This window comes from Homo sapiens, chromosome X (genome assembly GCF_000001405.40).
Source record: "Homo sapiens chromosome X, GRCh38.p14 Primary Assembly".
Classification (NCBI taxonomy): Eukaryota; Metazoa; Chordata; class Mammalia; order Primates; family Hominidae; genus Homo; species Homo sapiens.
In genome coordinates this window covers 32,207,592-32,226,833 of record NC_000023.11, presented here as the reverse complement: position 1 = coordinate 32,226,833, position 19,242 = coordinate 32,207,592, and the positions used below count along the sequence as shown (strand labels likewise).

At 34.4% G+C, this 19,242-nt stretch overlaps 1 protein-coding gene across 17 annotated transcripts in view; it reads left to right on the top strand.

Moving 5' to 3' along the window:
* The window catches only part of DMD (dystrophin), a 2,220,167-nt gene that overhangs the window by 1,112,555 nt on the left and 1,088,370 nt on the right, over positions 1–19,242 (top strand). For all 17 annotated transcript variants that reach the window (XM_006724469.4, NM_000109.4, XM_011545467.2 and 14 more), the window contains 1 exon segment: positions 9,771–9,918. In XM_006724469.4, coding sequence (XP_006724532.1) covers positions 9,771–9,918 — 148 coding nt within the window.

The window sequence follows — 19,242 nt, the reverse complement described above, 5'->3', positions numbered from 1 at the left end:
TAAAAATTTATAGATTACTAACTGTATTAATATCGATAATACTAAATTTTATTGCTATTTATAACTTGGAGTGTACTTTCATCCTCCTGAAAAAGCTGAATGAGGTAGGCAGTATTATTCTGGGTTTATGTGTGAGATAACTGAGACTCAGAGGTAAAATAGTGTATCCAAGCATTCATGGCTCTTAAATGGAAGATATAAGGGGTTTGTGAAATTACTCATGGACTTTTTTATTCATTCATTCAGTTATTAAAATGTATTCAACATTTATCATGTACCAGGAACAGCGCTTAGTACCAGGAATTCAAAGGTGCATAAAACATCTTCCTTATTCTAAGAGGTACATAGTGTACTGGAACAAACAGCCTTGTAAATACATAATTAGAACATGAAGTAGTATGTTAATAGAGGTTTTCACAAAGCTGTGGAAGCTTGTCTTATGAAGTAACTAATTCCAAGGGAGAGAAGCCTTATGGAATAGTGACATTTTAGATAGGGTGTCATTCTAAAATACAGCAAAAGGCCCACAGTAAAAAAGGAATTTTGGTTGTTATGAAAATTTTCAGATTTTCTATGTTTTCAGTACAGTATACATGGTGGGCTATGTGAATGTTTGTATAGGGACCAAAGTAGGAAGTGAGGTTGTCTGTTAGAGAGCGCTGAGAAACCGAAAATAGGGAGAGATGAGTTGGAATATGCTGAGGAAAAGTTATTAGGAGTTTTCAAGAAAGGCCACGACAGTGGGGCTAGAGAGAAGAGGCTAAATTAAAGAGTCATTTCTGGTTTAGAATTGATAAAATATAGAGACAAGCATGATAAGAAAGAAGTCGAGAAGTAAACGATGGTCTCAAGATTTCTAGCTTGGAAATCATTGACTAAAATTAAAACTAAGGACTGGATTAGGCCATTCTTGCATTGCTATAAAGAAATACCTGAGACTGGGTGTTTATAAAGTAAAGAGGTTTAATTGGCTGACGATTCTGCAGGCTCTACAGGAAGCATAGCAACATCTGTTTCTGGGGAGGCCTCAGGGAGCTTTTACTCATGGTGGAAGGCAGAGCAGGTGTAGGCATTTCACATGGCGAAAGCAGAGAGAGAGAGTTGGTGGTGGGGGTGGGTGGCTACCTACTTTTAAACAACCAGATCTTGGAGAACTCACTCATTTTCATGAGGACAGTACCAAGAGGATGGTATTAAACCGTGAGAAACCACCCTGATGATCCAGTCACCTCTCACCAGGCCCCACCTCCAACATTGGGGATTACAATTTAATATGAGATTTGGGTGGGGACACAGATCCAAATCATATCAAAGACTTGCATGGGAAAATAAGGAATTGTTGACATAACATCTTTGAGGTTCACATCAAATGTTCTGATGAGGATAGTCCAAGTAGCAGTTGGCTATATACCTCAGATAAGGGCTGAAATTTGGAGCTATGTCATAATCAGCCTAGATTAAGAGTCAATAATCTCCTGCCCATGGGCCAATTACACCCACCACTTGTTTTTGTAAAGTAGTATTGAATCCCAGCCATATCCATTTGCTTATGCTCCATGTATACCTTTTTTTTGAACTTCAAGGCAGAGTTGAGTAGTTGTAACAAAAACCATACGGCCCACAAAGCCTGAAATATTTGTTCTCAAGATCTTTATCTATAAAGTTTGCCAATACCTGCTGTAGATGTTAGTTGAAGCTTTGAAAGCAAATGAGGTTTCATAAGGCAGTGTCCATACAAGACATTTAACAAGTTTACCTATAAAAACTAGAATTCCTTTGAGGGGAACACATCCTAGTCTCCATTAAGCACAGTAGAAGAGTCCCCTATAATGGGAAAGAGGTCACTTTAGGTGTTGATGTTGGTGGTACAGGTCAAAGAAAATTTATCTTTGCTGTTTATTCAGAATGCAATAAGTGAAGTTATGAGAAATAAGGGAAAAAATGTGTAGAATTTCAACAGCGAAGAGAGGGGATAAAGGCATGAGAATGAGTTCCTAAGCTCAAGTATTATAAACACTGTGAGAAACTTAAAATCAAAGTATGACTCCAAACGTATTTGAAGCCTGAGAACAAGGCTCACAACCTAGGGAGGATTAGGGATCAATAAAATAGAGTGTTACAAAGTATAATGTCAATCCAGAGTTGTAAAAATATCAGCATTGAATATATTGAAAGCAGTAAAACTGAATGAGGAGACTATCATTTTATATCACTGTGTTTATTTCTTTGCCTTGTTCTATAAATATTTAAAATTATAAAATTTTTATTAACAGTGAGAGCAGAACTACCAGAGTGAGCAGATCAAAATTGGGACAGATGCTTTTCACTGCACACACTTTTATTTTTCTGCTGTTCATGCATTATCTTGTACAGTGCACATGTTTTACCTAAAAAATTAAAATGGAGTCTCCTGCTTAGGAAAAAAGTATATATTCTGTTTCAAACTATATACAAAAATAAAATCCCAGGTGACTAAAAACTGACATGAGAAAAAAACAAATTGATAAAGCTTTTACAGTAAAATAGAGGAGAATATGTTAATTAATATAGGGTAAGAAAAAATTGCTTACACAAATGATGAAGCACTAATCATGAATAAAAATAATAAAGTGGACTACCTTGTATATTAATAACATCTATACATCAAAAGACAGCACTGAGAGAGTAAAAATGAAACCCACAGAGTAGGATAAATTATTTGGAATACACACATAATGGATGAAATGTGTGTATTCATAATTATAAAGAATTCCTACAAATCTTTCAGAAAAGAACAGATAATCCAATAGAAAAATGGGAAAAGTTCTTGAAAAGTGAACCATGGCACAAAAAGGGCTTGTGGCCTGCTGGCAATATTCTGTATCTTGACCTGGATGGCATTTTTAAGGTGATCACTTTATAGTAAATAACTAATGTGTTTTATGCATCATAGTAACGTTAAGATTTTTGTCATCTTTACAAAATAAGAAATCCAAACGGCCAATAAATATATAAAGAATTTCTAAGTCCCATTAATGGTCCAGGCCATGCAAATTAAAACTAAAATGAAATATCACTGCTTACCAACCAGAATCATTGAAATTTATAAGTCTGACAATTCCATGTGGTGGTGAGAATATACAGCAATTAGAAATTTCACACAATGTTACTTGGTCTGTGAATTGTAAATAGAAGTGTAAAATTACACTACTGCTTCTTGGAGTGAAATCCATTTGGCACTATTTAGTAAATTCAAAGATCTGCATAACCTATAGCCCACCAATTTCACTTCTATATATACACTCTACAGAAATGCATATGTTCATATTCCAGGAGACATGTTTGGGAATGTCATAGCAGCATAGTAATAGCCCCAAACCAAAACTACTTCAGTATTTATTAATAGTAAAATTTGCTATAGTTTGAATGTGTCTCTTTCCAAATTCAGGTGTCGATAATGTGCTAGTACTAAGAGGTAGGGTGTTTAAGTGGTGATTAGGCCATGAGGGCTCCTTCTTTGTTAATAAAAATAAGACCCTTATAAACAAGGCTTCACGCAGCATTCAGTCAGCTTGCTCTCTTGCCCTTCTACCTTCTGCCTTGTGAAGATACAGCAGGAAGGCCCTCACCAGACACCAAATGCCAGAGCCTTTATCTTGGACTTCCCAGCCTCCAGAACTGTGAGTGAATACATTGGTATTATTTGTAAATTACCCAGTCTCAGGCATTTTGTTATAACAGCACAAACAGACTAAGACAATCATACAGTGAGAAATTAATCAACAACTAATAAGCAAAGAGGTAGATTAATCTTGAAACTATGATATAGAGTGTTCCATTTGGCTGCTGGAAGTTTTATTTCTTGGTCTGGGTGATGGTCACCATGGGTTTATATGAATGGTTCCCTATATTATGTTTCACAACAAAAAGCATTTAAAAAGTAAATATATGTAATGTACTCAGGGATAGGCATGGCCAACCATGGATTCTATGCTGAAATAATGATTCAGATTTCATCAGCAGGCTAATGACACTGCCTATTTAAATACTTTAAGTCCTGAAATTAAAGAAGGTAATTTCTCAAGAAGGAATTTCTAATTTATGGGTGGGTCTATTCCCCACCAGAGAGACACTAGCATGGCTCAGATTCTATGTTGGTCATTTTATTTGCATTTAAAGTCTTAAGCCAAATAGAGGTACACTAATAATGACAACAACTACTACTACTCATACTTGTGGAACACTGCCAGATGCTGTTTTAAGAAATTTGCATTTTCATTTGTAACTGAGCTTACTTGAATCTTCTCTCTTTTTTTCTTGGTTAATCTAACTACTGGTCTATCAATTTTACTTATCTTTTCAAAGAATCAACATTTTGTTTCATTGATCTTTTATATTTTTGTTTCAATTTCATTTAGTTCTGCTCTGATCTTTGTTATTTCTTTTCTTCTGGAGCTTTGTGTTGGCTTTGTTGTTGATTCTCTAGTTCCTTCAGGTGTGATGTTAGGTAGTCAGACTGTGAACTTTCAGGCTCTTTGATGTAGGCATTTGGTGCTAGAAAATTTCCTCTTAGCCTTGCTTTTGCTGTATCCCAGAGGTTTTGAATAGATTTTGTTGTGAATGTGATGAAAACGGAACATTTGTACACTGCTGGTGATTGTAAATTAGTACAACCTACATGGAAAACAGTATGAAGATTTCTTAAAGAACTAAAAGTAGATCTAACATTTGATCTGGAAATCTCACTACCGATTATGTACCTAGAGGAAGAGAATTCATTATATCAAAAAGACACTTGCACGCATATGTTTATAGCAGCACAATTCACAGTTGCAAAGATATGGAACCATCCTAAGTGCCAGCCGACCAATGAGTGGATAAAGAAAATGTGGCATATATTTTCATATACCGTGAAATACTATTCAGCCACATACCATGCAATACTACTCAGCCGTAGAAAATAATGAAATAATGTCTTTTGCAGCAACTTTGATGGAGCTGGATGCCATTATTCTAAGTGAAGTAATTCAGGAATGGAAAACCAAATACTGTATGTTCTCACTTATAAGTGGGAGCTACGCTGTAGGTACACAAAGGCAGACAGAGTGGTAGAATGGACTTTGAAGACTCAGAAGGGGCAGAGTGGGAAGGTAGTGAGGGATAAAAAATTACCTTTGGGGTGTAATGTACACTACTTGGGTGACACGTGCACTAAAATATCTGATTTTACTTCTATACAATTCATTCATGTAACCAAAAATCACTTGTATTCCAAAGACTATTGAATTTGAATTTTTTAAAAACATTAATAAAATAAAAGATGTAAAAAAAGAAATTTATATATACTCATTTATTGAGCTCCCACAATTAACCTTAGGAGGTAAGTACTTCATAATTGGTAGTATACTTATCTTTTACTAAATATTTGTATTACTTGGGAAGTTGAGGGTTGGGGAGAAGTAGCAAGGTACTATGATTTGGGGCAGATAACTAACTTATTTATTCGCACATACAGTTTGGACCATGAGACACGAGCTCAGGTCCCTCCTCCTCACCTAATCAAAGATGAAATATGTGGGATGGGATGAAATAATCAGCAGTCCAATGCTGAGTTTCCAGACCGAAGTATAAAGCAACAATGGATATGTCAGAAGTCTACTAGGGTGTTATTTATTTAAATCTATTTCATGGAATTTACTACCACCTTAATGGCCCGAAAGTGTTAAAGTATGCCCCAGAGTACCGAATTACTCCCTAAATGTAATTTATGCTTGAGAATAATCTGACTAACTTGATTTAGAACATCAGAAAATAAGTTATGCTGCACATAAATGAAGCAGCAGTGTAATTTTAAATACCGGTTGCACGGTGAATGAGAATTTTAATATTTGCAAAATTCTAAAATCACTTGATTTATTATCCTTATGTTTATACTGACATTTTTTTGCCCTTTGTTAAGTTCCATCCATATTTCTTCTTACTGCCAAGAAAAAAAACTTTTTTTCCTAGAAATATTACAGAAGGCAAAAATTATATTTGTTTCCCTGAATGCTATTTTTGATGTCTCTACTTGTTTCTCATTGTTACCATTTGCTTCATTCATGGGCAGCCCAATTAATGGAGCGAGACAAATTTAGGGAGCACAGTGACTAATTAGATATTAAATTGGTAAATCTAACTTTGTAAAACCAGAAAAAATATATATATATTTTTTTCATTTGGAATTTTCCTTGGTGGAAAAGAGTTTAAAAGTAGTCATGATAAAAAATGTAATTTTACGTAGTAAATTCAAGAATAGATTTAGACTGTGCTATTAACAGCACCTATTAAATACTGAAAAGTGTATTTTAAAATTTTATGTGAGGCTTGAAATGGAGTCTAAAGTATTATTACTCACATTAAGTGTCATCACATGTAAAGCCCATGATTTTATTCTTTAATATTTTGTTTGAATAGTTACTTATTTCAACAGTAATTTCAATAATAAAATTAAATCAACTTTACAGTTTTCAAAGGTTTAGCAGTTGCATGCTGTAATAAATACTTCATATTTATATATTTATAAAGTGACAGCATAAGTCATTTTTATTAGGTCCTTGAGGATGCAAAAGTTTGGATTATACGAGGAGACGAGAGAAAAAGGGAAGAAGGGCATTTCAGAAATATGCTACCGATATGCAAATTCACAAGTCCTAAGACAGTAGCAGGGGTCGGGCAGAAAGTCCATCCTGCCTCCCTCTTGTGGGCCTGGAACAATGGTGTAAGTGGAAGGCCTGTTCCCCTTCTCTTCCTACCTCCAGCTCTGTCTTACAGAGCTACGGATACCATGAGCAAGTGTATGAACCCTTACGGTTTTCTTCTCTTGGGAGAATGTAAAGGAAAGATAACTTGTAGAAACTTGTAGATAACTTGTAAAAAGGAAAAGAATTCAGGGTGAGAGGGGGATTTGTTGAATTTGATAGAGGATGGCAATTACCAATATGATGAGTGATTGAGAAACAAGTCTGTGCAACAGGTTTGAAATCGAAAATCTTTGAGGTGTACAGGATCCTGAAATGAAGAATGGGCATTTATAGCAGTATGTCAGAGAAACAGTCACCTCCTAGTAGCTAAAAGTGTTGGCAAAAGTATAGTTCAAGTGATTGGGTAGGAAAAACAGCAAACCAAGAGTGGAGACTGATGGTTGCTACAAAGGTGGAGTGGTAAGTCGTGACCAACTGGTACTTCTCTGTGCTCTGGTTAGCTGCTGACTGTTTCTCAGACTGTGGTAGCAGGAGGAGGGTTGGAGTTAGCAGTCATTTGCATATGAGACTGCCATTTAAAAAAAAATTTTAAATTATTTCATTTTTCTGACTCTCAATATGAAAAGCACATTGTAGACAAATTGAAAAATATAGAAAAATTATATAAGAAAATATAGTCTCACCAGTATGGAACAATGCTAACTATGTTGCATAGATTTTTAGATTCTCATTCAAAAGCAACTCTTTGACTCCAGTGATGCAAATGCATGTAACATATGCAATGTGCAATTCATTTTTAAAGGGAATAAACTTACGATATATTCATAGGTCATTTATTGTGTGTTATATACCATTGAAAATATATGAATGCTAAATTATTAGTAAACATGCAAAAACATTGGCAAGATCATTTTGTTGTGGAAGGATATATTGTATCTGAATAACTCTAGAATACCATAAATCATCAAAGGCAACATTCTTATTTTTCACTAACTACAGTTAGAGAATACCTCTTCGGCTACCTTCGGTTGCCTTTTTTATGCTACCAAAATGCTGTCTGTTTTACAAGATTTTAAAGGTTAAGCATATAATTATTCATTAAATACAATGAGTGCAATGTACATGTAGATACATTATTAAATTTTGGGTAGTTAATAAAAATAAGGGGAAAAAACCTCTAGAACTATCACTTTTAATTGTTTAACTGATAAAGTGAAGCTTCATCTTGGAAAAATAATTTCACAAGAGAGCATGTGCACTGGTAGAAAAGTGCCATTGAAACAAGAGATATTTGGGTTAGAAGCCTCTCTCTACTATTTAATACCATTTTCACCTTTTGGCAAATTACTTGGCCTCTGTTTTCTCCAATGGAAAATGGGAATAATAATTGTTATGCTGCAGGGTTATTGTAGGTGTCAATGAAATGATGTGTCTGGCACTATAAAAGCACAGAGCCCGGTGCCTGGCTATTAGTAACTGTTTAATAAATGTTAATTCCTTTCTCTGCCCAGGACATCAGTAGGCAGATGTAGCAATTTAAAACTTCTAGTGTTACTTTAAATTCCTGAATGAAGGTAGAGGACTGAAAAGATATCATGGTATTCAAAAGTATGATCCATTGCTTCTTAAGAATAGAGTTCAGAAAAGCTTGACAGATTCCTGTACTCTGAGGCAGCACCATAGCCGGTAATCTGTAGGATGGCTATTGGTTTTGTGCTCACAAATGCTTGCTTGGGCAGGCCCCAGGAAATCTGGTAGACTGTAAGCCCAGTAAGATTTCAAATCTTACTTTACGGCAGTGTTTTTCACCTTGACTGTACATTGAAATCACCTGGATGCTTTGAAAAATAACAGCGTCAGTGTCCAACCTCCAGAAATACTGATTAAGTTGGTCTGGAATGGAGCCCCAGGATCACTGTTTGGTTATTGTTGTTGCTGTGTTTTAAATGCCCCAGTTGATTCTTATGTGCAACTGTCTTAGGTAAACATACAGCCCTGGTTCATATTATTTCTGCCTCAGTCTCTTTTATGACTGGAAGGTGACCAAATGCTTGTTTCCTAATATTCTTTCCATGTGTAGTATTAACACATTTGACTTGTACTAAGTTCCTGCAGTATTCCAATCTAAAATTTTAGTGACTACAATAAAATAAGAAGGATTAAAGAAGGCATCGCATAGTTTAGTATATCGGTTATTTAATGCTTACATGTGAGCCTACAATATGAATTATATCTGTCATCTTATTTTAAATATTGACAGAATCTTTAATGATAGTGACGAATTATTGATTTATTGGTGTGATAATGGTATTTTAGTTATATTTTTAAAGTTTTATTTGTAATAACTATATGTATTTATGGGGTACAGTGTGACGTTTCAGTGTAATGTTTCATTGTGTAATGATCAAATCAGGTTTCTTGGCAGATCCATAGCCTCAAACATTTATAATTTCTCTGTGGTGAGAAAATTTAAAATTCTCTTTCACTATTTTGAAATATACAGCACAATATTGGTAACTTTGTTCATATTACTATGCAATAGAACACTAGAACTTATTACTCCTTTCAGTTGATGAACAGGCAGTTTTGGATCAAGAATAATATTGAAAGTGATAGAATTTATGAAGTAATTTTTATCCAAAAATATTTTGAAAGGGAATATATTGCTTCCAAATAATTTATTACAATGTTAAGATATTTGTAAATTTCTAGAATTAAAAAAATATATTTTTAGGAAAGAAAATGCCAATAGTCCAAAATAGTTGCTTTATCTTTCTTTTAATCAATAAATATATTCATTTTAAAGGGAAAAATTGCAACCTTCCATTTAAAATCAGCTTTTATATTGAGTATTTTTTTAAAATGTTGTGTGTACATGCTAGGTGTGTATATTAATTTTTATTTGTTACTTGAAACTAAACTCTGCAAATGCAGGAAACTATCAGAGTGATATCTTTGTCAGTATAACCAAAAAATATACGCTATATCTCTATAATCTGTTTTACATAATCCATCTATTTTTCTTGATCCATATGCTTTTACCTGCAGGCGATTTGACAGATCTGTTGAGAAATGGCGGCGTTTTCATTATGATATAAAGATATTTAATCAGTGGCTAACAGAAGCTGAACAGTTTCTCAGAAAGACACAAATTCCTGAGAATTGGGAACATGCTAAATACAAATGGTATCTTAAGGTAAGTCTTTGATTTGTTTTTTCGAAATTGTATTTATCTTCAGCACATCTGGACTCTTTAACTTCTTAAAGATCAGGTTCTGAAGGGTGATGGAAATTACTTTTGACTGTTGTTGTCATCATTATATTACTAGAAAGAAAATTATCATAATGATAATATTAGAGCACGGTGCTATGGACTTTTTGTGTCAGGATGAGAGAGTTTGCCTGGACGGAGCTGGTTTATCTGATAAACTGCAAAATATAATTGAATCTGTGACAGAGGGAAGCATCGTAACAGCAAGGTGTTTTGTGGCTTTGGGGCAGTGTGTATTTCGGCTTTATGTTGGAACCTTTCCAGAAGGAGAACTTGTGGCATACTTAGCTAAAATGAAGTTGCTAGAAATATCCATCATGATAAAATTACAGTTCTGTTTTCCTAAAGACAATTTTGTAGTGCTGTAGCAATATTTCTATATATTCTATTGACAAAATGCCTTCTGAAATAGTCCAGAGGCCAAAACAATGCAGAGTTAATTGTTGGTACTTATTGACATTTTATGGTTTATGTTAATAGGGAAACAGCATATGGATGATAACCAGTGTGTAGTTTAATTTCAACTTGTGGTGTCCTTTGAATATGCAGGTAAAGATAGATTAGATTGTCCAGGATATAATTTGGTTGCTAAATTACATAGTTTAGGCATAAGAAACACTGTGTTTATTACACGAAGACTTAATTATTTTTGCATCTTTTTTAGCTCAAATTGTTCATGTTGCAATAGTCAATCAAGTGGATTTGAATTGTAGCCAATTTTTAATGCCAGAAAATACTGATTAAGACAGATGAGGGCAAAAAACACCCAGTAGTTTATTAAATACTTTAGATATTTCAAAATGCTGGATTCACAAAAGCAGTATCACATTTGACTTTACAAGTCTTCATTCTCAAATATGTTTCCATAGTAAATATGCCCTTTAATATTAAGGAGTTAAGCATTTAAACACCTATTTATATGATAAGCTATTTAAACACAGAAAATATTTTTAAAACCTTGTGTAATTATATGTGTATCAATCAAACTTGCATGCACACCAGCGTTGGCATTTGTATAGAGAGGAAATGTATGGATTCCCAATCTGCTTTAATATAGAAGATACATTTTAAAAATAGCACTGAAGTGAATTTTGGGCTAATGTAGCATAATGGGGTTTCTGCCTGAGAGGCAGAAACATATTAGAGTTATATAAAATGTTTTGGGGTAGATATAGAAACCACTTGCCATTTTCAATGATATCCAACCCAAGGTAGTTATATATTTCAATTTATATTTTATTATCAAATTAGTACTTATTGTGAAAAAAATCAAGTAACATAGAAATTTGTAAAAGTACCTCCATTCTACTCTTTGGAGGATAGTTGTTCAGTATGAATTTTGCTACATATTTCAGGCTGGGTTTCTTGGAAAGCCATTGTAAAATGGAGATTTGTATGTAGAAGGTTAACTAGGGAGTACTTTTACGATGAAGCAATTTGTTTTGATGTAACTTGGTGTAGTTTTCTTCATGTTTCTTGTTCTTGAAGTCAGTTAAGCTCTTGAATCTGTGCATTTAACATTTCATCAAATTTAGAAACCTTTCAACCATTTTTTTAAAAAAAATGGAACTCCAATTGTACATTTATTAGGCTCCTTAAAGTGCCCCACTACTCACTGATGTTATGTTCATTGTCTGTTTGGTCTCTCTTTTCTCTGTAATTTGTTTTATATAATCTCTATTGTCAAATTGACTAATCTTTTTCAAAGTCTAATCTATGGCTAATCCCATGTAGTATATATTTTTAACATCAGACATTTTCATCTCTTAGAAGTAAAAGTTGGGTCTTTTTATTTCTTCCATGTGTCTACTCAACATGTTCAGTCTTTACTTTCTTGACTATATGGAATACAGATATAATAACTGTTAGAATATTCTTCTCTACTAATTTTATCATCTGTGTCTATTCTGGGTTAATTTAAATTGATTTATTTTTCTCCTCATTAAGTGTGTTGTTTAACTGCTTCTTTGGATGACTGGTAATTTTTGACTATATGCCAGACATTGTGAATTTTAACTTAGCGCGTGCTTGATACTTCAAATAAATTCAAATATATTGAAATAAATATTCTCAAACCTCGTTCTGGAACACAGTTAATTCACTTGGAAACAATTTGATCTTTTGAGAATCTTCCTTTTATGCTTTGTTATGACCAGAACAGTGTAAGTTTAGGGCTACTTTTTCCCCACTACTGAGGCAAAACCCTTCTGAGTACTCTCTCTGATGTCCTGTGAATGATAAAATTTTTCACTGGGGCTCGTGGGAACAGGTGGTATTACTAGCCACGTGTGAGCTCTGGTGATTGTTTCCTTTAATTCTTTTGTGAAGTTCTTTCCTTAGCTTTGAGTGGTTTTCTTGCATACATGAACTGATCAAGACTCAGATGAAGAATAAAATAAAGCTTTCTACAAATCTCCAAAATTTCCTCTGTGTATATATCACCTCTCTGGTATTTTGCCCTGTGATCACTAGTCAGCCTTGGGCTGCTGAAACTCTCAGCTTCATCTTTTAACAAAAGCCTCCTGGCAAGGATCACTGTCCTTCAATGTCTGATGTTCAATGTGTTGAAAACCGTTGTAGCATATATTTTGTCTTTTTTTTTTTTTTTTTTTTTTTAAGTGTTTCAGGTGTTTCAGGCAGGAGATTAAGTTCAGCCTCCTTTACTCCAACTTGAAAACAAGTCCAAAACAAACTATTTTGATGTAATTTGATCTTTTAATACATTAACATTACACAATTTTGTGAATATATCATAATTTAAAATTTTCAGAGAATGTCTAATGGTCCTCATTTCTTGACAGTGTGGTTTAGTTGAAACTGATGAACATTTTATCAAAACTTTTCCCCTCAATTGGATACTTTTTTTTTTTTGAGATGGAATTTTGCTTTTGTCACCCAGGCTGGAGTGGCATGATCTCAGCTCACTGCAACCTCTGCCTCCAGGCTTCAAGCAATTCTCCTGCCTTAGCCTCCCGAGTAGCTGGGATTACAGGTGCCCACCCCCACACCTGGCTAATTTTTGTATTTTTAGTAGAGACGAGATTTCACCATGTTGGTCAGGCTGGTCTAGATCTCCGACCTCAGGTGGTCTGCCTGTCTCAGCCTCCCAAAGTGCTGGGATTGCAGACGTGAGCCACCATGCCTGGCCAACTGGATAATTTTAAAAAGACCATTTTATTTAGTCTATTTTTTCTCAATCTATAGATGAGATAAGAAAAATCATTCTAGATGTCCAAGGAAAAATTCTTTCAGAAAAGAGCTGTGAATGATATCACAAACCCCCCAAACAGTTAAGGTATTTCTTTCCTGGTTATTTTATGTCCAAAATCATGCATATGAACATGTGCACACACATGAGCGTGCACACACACATGAATACATATACACGCACATAATGTACCTTAGGTTATCTTTCCATTCTGAGTAATTATCGTAAAATGGGTAAAATCAACCCCGTAAGATACCTTCATCGATAAGGCAAATCAAAGCTTTGGTAATTTCTGCTATCTTGGCCTTTGTTGATTGACTAATAATGAATAAGAGAATGAGTTTCAATATTTACTATGAAATTATTTTAGAAGACAGGATGTAGACAGTGGCTGTTAGCAGGCAATTGTTTGGCATGAGCCAGTAATGGTTACTGTGAAAAAAATCAACCAAGCAGCCCATATATTAAACAAACACACGCAGAAGCACGTTGGAGTCTGAAGCCTCATATGTACAATTTTCAGTAAAGAAATAACTTTTAGATATGAAATAAACAAATAGATATATGTTGTAAACTTGTCCCTATGTATTTTGATCAAATTGCATCATATTTTTTTCACTTTAAAGAAGAGAATTTAGTGCTTTAACTGAGACTTAGTGTTATCATTCAAAATATACTGACTGCCAATAGCAGTAGAAAGATAATCTGGTTCCATGCAACTCTATTTTTTTTCCTCTGTCGCAAGTAAAAGACAAAATTAAGTACATGAATTAGTGCTTTTTGAAGATATTCCAGAGCAATATACCATGCCACTATGGAGAACCTCTCTAAAAATATCCCATTTTTTTACCTGAGAAAAATATTGATCATGTTATATGCCACTCAAATTGGTTTATTAAATTCGTTGAATGATATCAGCATCTCTTAATGCATTCACTAAACAAGCAGTAATTGAGTGCATATACAAAGTTTTATCATCCACCAAAACAGTGACAATCCACATGAGGCTCTAATAGAAGTTTAGAAAGGGGGTTAAGTGGTTAAATGCTGGACTCAGAAAGATTGGATTCAAATCCCAGGTCCTTTAGCTTAATAGTTGTAGAATCTTGTGAAAATATCTTAATTCTTTTCATGTCTCTGATTTCTCTTCTCTAAAATGGAAATATAAATGAGATGTGTATAAAGCCACTTGGAATAGCATTTTGCACAAAATAATTACTCATTAAATGTAAGCCCCTATTATAACTAATCACTCTTTATAAGTGATTAGTTCATATCAATACAAACTAAGACTTATTTACTGAATTATCGTCTCTAAACATCCACACTGCAGAAAAACCAACCTGGAAATTTCATAAAACCTTATTTTTATGTAGTATAATTTCTTCTCAAAGCATAAGGGCTCTTGGATTAGGAATTGAGGAAAATTCCAATTCAGCCAAACGCATCTGTTTCAGATAGCTGACACTTCTGCCTACTCATTTCCTAGCTAACAAGAAGAAATGTTAATGGGAGTTTTCAAAGGAAAAGCTGAACACCATGAAGGAAAGTGACACAAATAATGTTAGCTCATATATTGACAGGGTGAATTTGTGTGCTTTCAAGTCCCTTCAGTGAAAATAGGAAAGTAGAAATTATAAAATGCCCTAACATTTAAAGCTAGCATGTTCTTGGAGACTAGGAAAAAATAAGTTTTAAAACATGGGCTATGATAGAATGAGATGGAAAATGTTTGTAGTTGCCAGTAGAAACAATAACAATTACCATTAGATTAAGTATTTAAACCAGCTGAATATTTTTATTAATGGAAATGGCATCTGTTTTATGAAATAATGCTGCTGAATGAACCATATTAAAAATGACCAGTATTTCCTGCAGAACGTTGTCGCAGACATACAAGCCTGAGACCCTAAAATCTTAAGGTATTCCATTTGAAATCGACCTTAAGACATTAACAGTAGTGGTATTGTTTAGATGAAATTTTTTAGGCTTTAAATCAACAAATGTTAAGCAGACATGGGGAGCGAAACACCAGTGTGTTATTCTGACATGAATAAACTGCTGTTTTTAGGGAAAAAATATAGTCTTGTTAAGGTTAAGCTAATTGGTTTTCTGGTATCTTTTGCAATGTTAGTGTGTTTTACTGCTCCATAACCTATGTTATATGGTAAATGTGCAATATATTTATATATGTTGCTGTAAAGAAATGTAATAAAAAACTGTTTACTTTGTGATATGAAAGTAAAAATTTATTCATTGTCATTGAGCATACAGAAGTAAATATGGATTACATATGTCATATTTTAATGTTCACATGGTCCCACCATCAAATGTTGAAAAACTTATAGTTTAACGTCATATTCTATTGAAGAAAAATACACTCCCTTTTCTCAAATGTGAAATGTCCAGAGAGAATGGAAAATTACATATAAAGCATGTAGTTATAGCATGGTGACCCTGCTGTGATCTCTCAGATGAGGAACAAAAGGGAGAAAGAAAGAGCACACTGGTGCTTTGGAGTTGAGAGAAGGCAAAAAAAGAGTACAAAAATGTCAAAGCCAAGTTTAGCTGCTCTTCAGCTCTCCCTTTAGCTGCTCTTCAGCTTTACCTTACCATGGTTATTAGTGATTGAAGAAAATTCTAAAGCACTTTTTAAAGGACCCAATTCTGAAGAGTTTAGATTCAGAGAGCACAATGGAGTTGGAGTGACTCCTGCTCAAAAGTTTGAGACAAGCGAGTCCATGAAAAGACCGTCCTCCTCTTAATGGAAATACCCAGGTTTTCTCATTCTTCTCGCCTTGCTTTCAGCACTCGCAGCCCAGAAAGCCCTTATCTAACAGGTACTGCCGTTGAAAGGTCATTGACTTGTACAAAAATGATGAGTGCTGAATAGATGTGCATAGGTCACTGACAGTATCTGCTACAGAGAATGAGTTTTCGTATTTTTATTAGGATACACCTAACATGGCAATCTACTGCCTCAAAGAACTCTATAGGAGGTAAGTGAATTTATATTAATACAGATTGAATTAAAGGATAATCTAGAAAAAGGCATATGATGTAAAAAAATCAGACACAAGTATATTTTCTGTATAGTCAGTTTTTACATTGTGATTTCACCAGCTGGCTGCTGAGTTTGACGGCTTCTTAACAGCCACACTGCTGAGATTCAAATGCTGATAGAAACTTTGATGGAAAAATCACTGGAGTAAATATTTCTACCATCTGTTGCCCTTCACTGGGACCCTAACGTTAAGAATAATTCATACCATTGCTTGTCCTTTATATTTCCCCAGCAGTAATAAAATTTCATAAGATTTTGTTTTGTGGTCACAAAGCTATCCTGGTTTCTGTAACTAGAAGACATACACTAGCATAAGGGAATCAGCCGGAAAATTTACTGCTAAGAGAATTTGTCTCTAGTCACTTACTTTAAGGTTACAGCAATGTGTAAGTGTGGGAATACATTTTAAAATGAGCTTTTCAAAGTTATTAGCTGGTAGTGGCATGAGAGTTAAGTCTCTTAATACAGTTAAACAGTTGGGCACTTCATCCTTGCGTAAATATTGTTACCCTTTTATTGCTGCTTGGAAACTCCTCTGCAACTTTTTGGCCCCTATCCATCTTTTCAGAAGTAGTAAATAACCAATTTACTGGGAGTGTGGTACCAGGCAGAAATTCCGAGAGGGGCTTTCAATCCTTGCCCATCAAGTGTATCTTTCAGAAATAAGTATATTAAAATAATTGGATAATTTCAGTGGCTTGTTATTAGACTTCCGTTGTCCAGCATGGCATGTTTAAGAAGATGACAGATTTTCATACATTATTGGAAAGAAGCAAGAACAAAAAAACATAACTTACTGTAGTAACCACGGTAAAGAACTGCTTAAAATGCAGGATAAACATGTCATCCCTAAGGGATTCCCATTCTTAGAGCATGAAATTATCAAGAGAGTAAGAGACTACAAAAAATGAGAAGAATGCTGATTGCAAATTCCAAATAGAAAAAATCAAAACAAAACTGCGCACCATCATTCTGGAAGCAATGAGAAGCAGAAATTGTCATTTAATGAAATGTAAGATTAAAGTTAATAGAAGTAATTTTCATGAAATAATATTTTGCAAGGACGATGTTCCAGCCATATTGATCTTCGTGTTTTCTTTTCACATCCCTTCTTACTGTTCCCTAGAATGCTTGTTTCTACCTTTAAATTTGCTTTTCTCTCTACCAGAGGGCTCTACCCTATCTCCAGTTTCTCACCATGTCCCAATCTACTCCCTCTCAGAATTTTTGTACACTTCCCTTTATATATATTTGTGCTCTAATTTTATATTCACAGATATGCCTTTTGTAACTCCCCCATCTTAAAGAAAGCACACACGTACGCACACATGCACACACACAAAATTGAACTCTTTCTGGGAGATCTGCTTAACTTTCTTCATAACTCTGTCACTTGCTGAAACTGTAGTATGTGTTTTCATGTTTATTATCTTTTCCATTAGAATGAACATATTTTGGGTACTTGGTCTTTCTCGATCACCAATATACCTCGGTACGTAGAAAAATTGATTCATATATTGAAAATGTAATATTCAGTAGAACGAATAAATACATAAATAAATTTAAAAATGATACTTTTATTGTATTACCTGAGACAAATGATCCCCAAGTTTGTCCTTGCTTTTCATAGCCAAAACATTCTCTCTTACATTGAGCTTCCTTCACCTCTTCTGTGTACAGAGCACTTAAAATTTTCACATTGCCTGATACTTTAACAATATGATGGCCCTGTTCTCTTACCCATTGGAGCATATGTTAAATACCAGAACCCATGTAACAAACATATATTGTGATCCTACTGTGTGCAAAGCAGATACTGCTTGCTGCTAGGAATACAGAGCTGACTAAGAGCTCCTTTTCTCTTTATGAGCTCACAGTCTCATGAGTTCAACGTCTTAAGGCACAACGTCTAAAGCAAAGGGCAGTAAGTAAACACTCCAGAAAGTACTGGATCTGGCCTAGGACAAATGGTGGGTTGTTTTTCCAGCTGTTATTTTTCCTGCCCCCTAATTGACAGTCCTCCATTACACCTCTGGGATACCTAGTCTGACTTGGGAAAACCTGACTTTGGGAATCAGAGGCAGTCTCTCTTGCTTATATATGAGGAACTCTAATGGATACTTACTGTCATTAGAGAAACTCTGCTTCTAGCCTGGCTCCTTTTGTAAAGAAGGTTGAGTCCCCTTGGAGAGCCTGCAGAACATAACCATTTGCATGTAATGAACAGTTTGTAATACTTTGAGATTGATGTGCAATTTCTATTTGACAAGGGAAAAACAATTAGGATTAACCGTGGTCGTATATCCCAGAATACCAACGTTGTTTCCACACTCTAAGTGTTGTTGGGTCATTATATGAGATTCATAATTTTGTCCTGTTGTACCCACGTTTGCATTACCATTCAGTCTTAATTTATTATACCCTATTAAAAGTTTTTTTGGTAATTTGTTCTTATTGCTACTCAGGCATTAAAATGTCTGCAGGCTGTGAAAATGAATAAATTTAATGTGGCAGCATAGTTCTCAAAATCCTGGCTTTACAACTCATAGTACAGGCTTGTATTGTAAATCCTAGTTAACATGGATTTATTTGAAAATCCAATTTTACTGCTAATCTTAAATAACACATTTTTCAAACATTTTATCCTTGAATTTCTATTTTTTTATAATTTATGGCTGTTGTATGTATTTACAAAAGGACAATGTGTGTACTTTTAAATACTAGTAATGGATTGCTGAAACAACTGTAACTTTAAAACAATGCAATTGTTAAAAAAATAAACTGTGCAGCCTGGCTTAATGGAGGCTTATGAACATATGATTAAGATATATGCTATAATAAGCAAATTCACTCAACTGATAGTTCATAGGAACTTTCAAATTTAATCTCATAACCAGTGCTATCCTTCAAAGAATGGTCAGGGCAATTTAACGAGTACATGACCACGCAAGATAATTTCATTGAAGAGTGGCTGAAC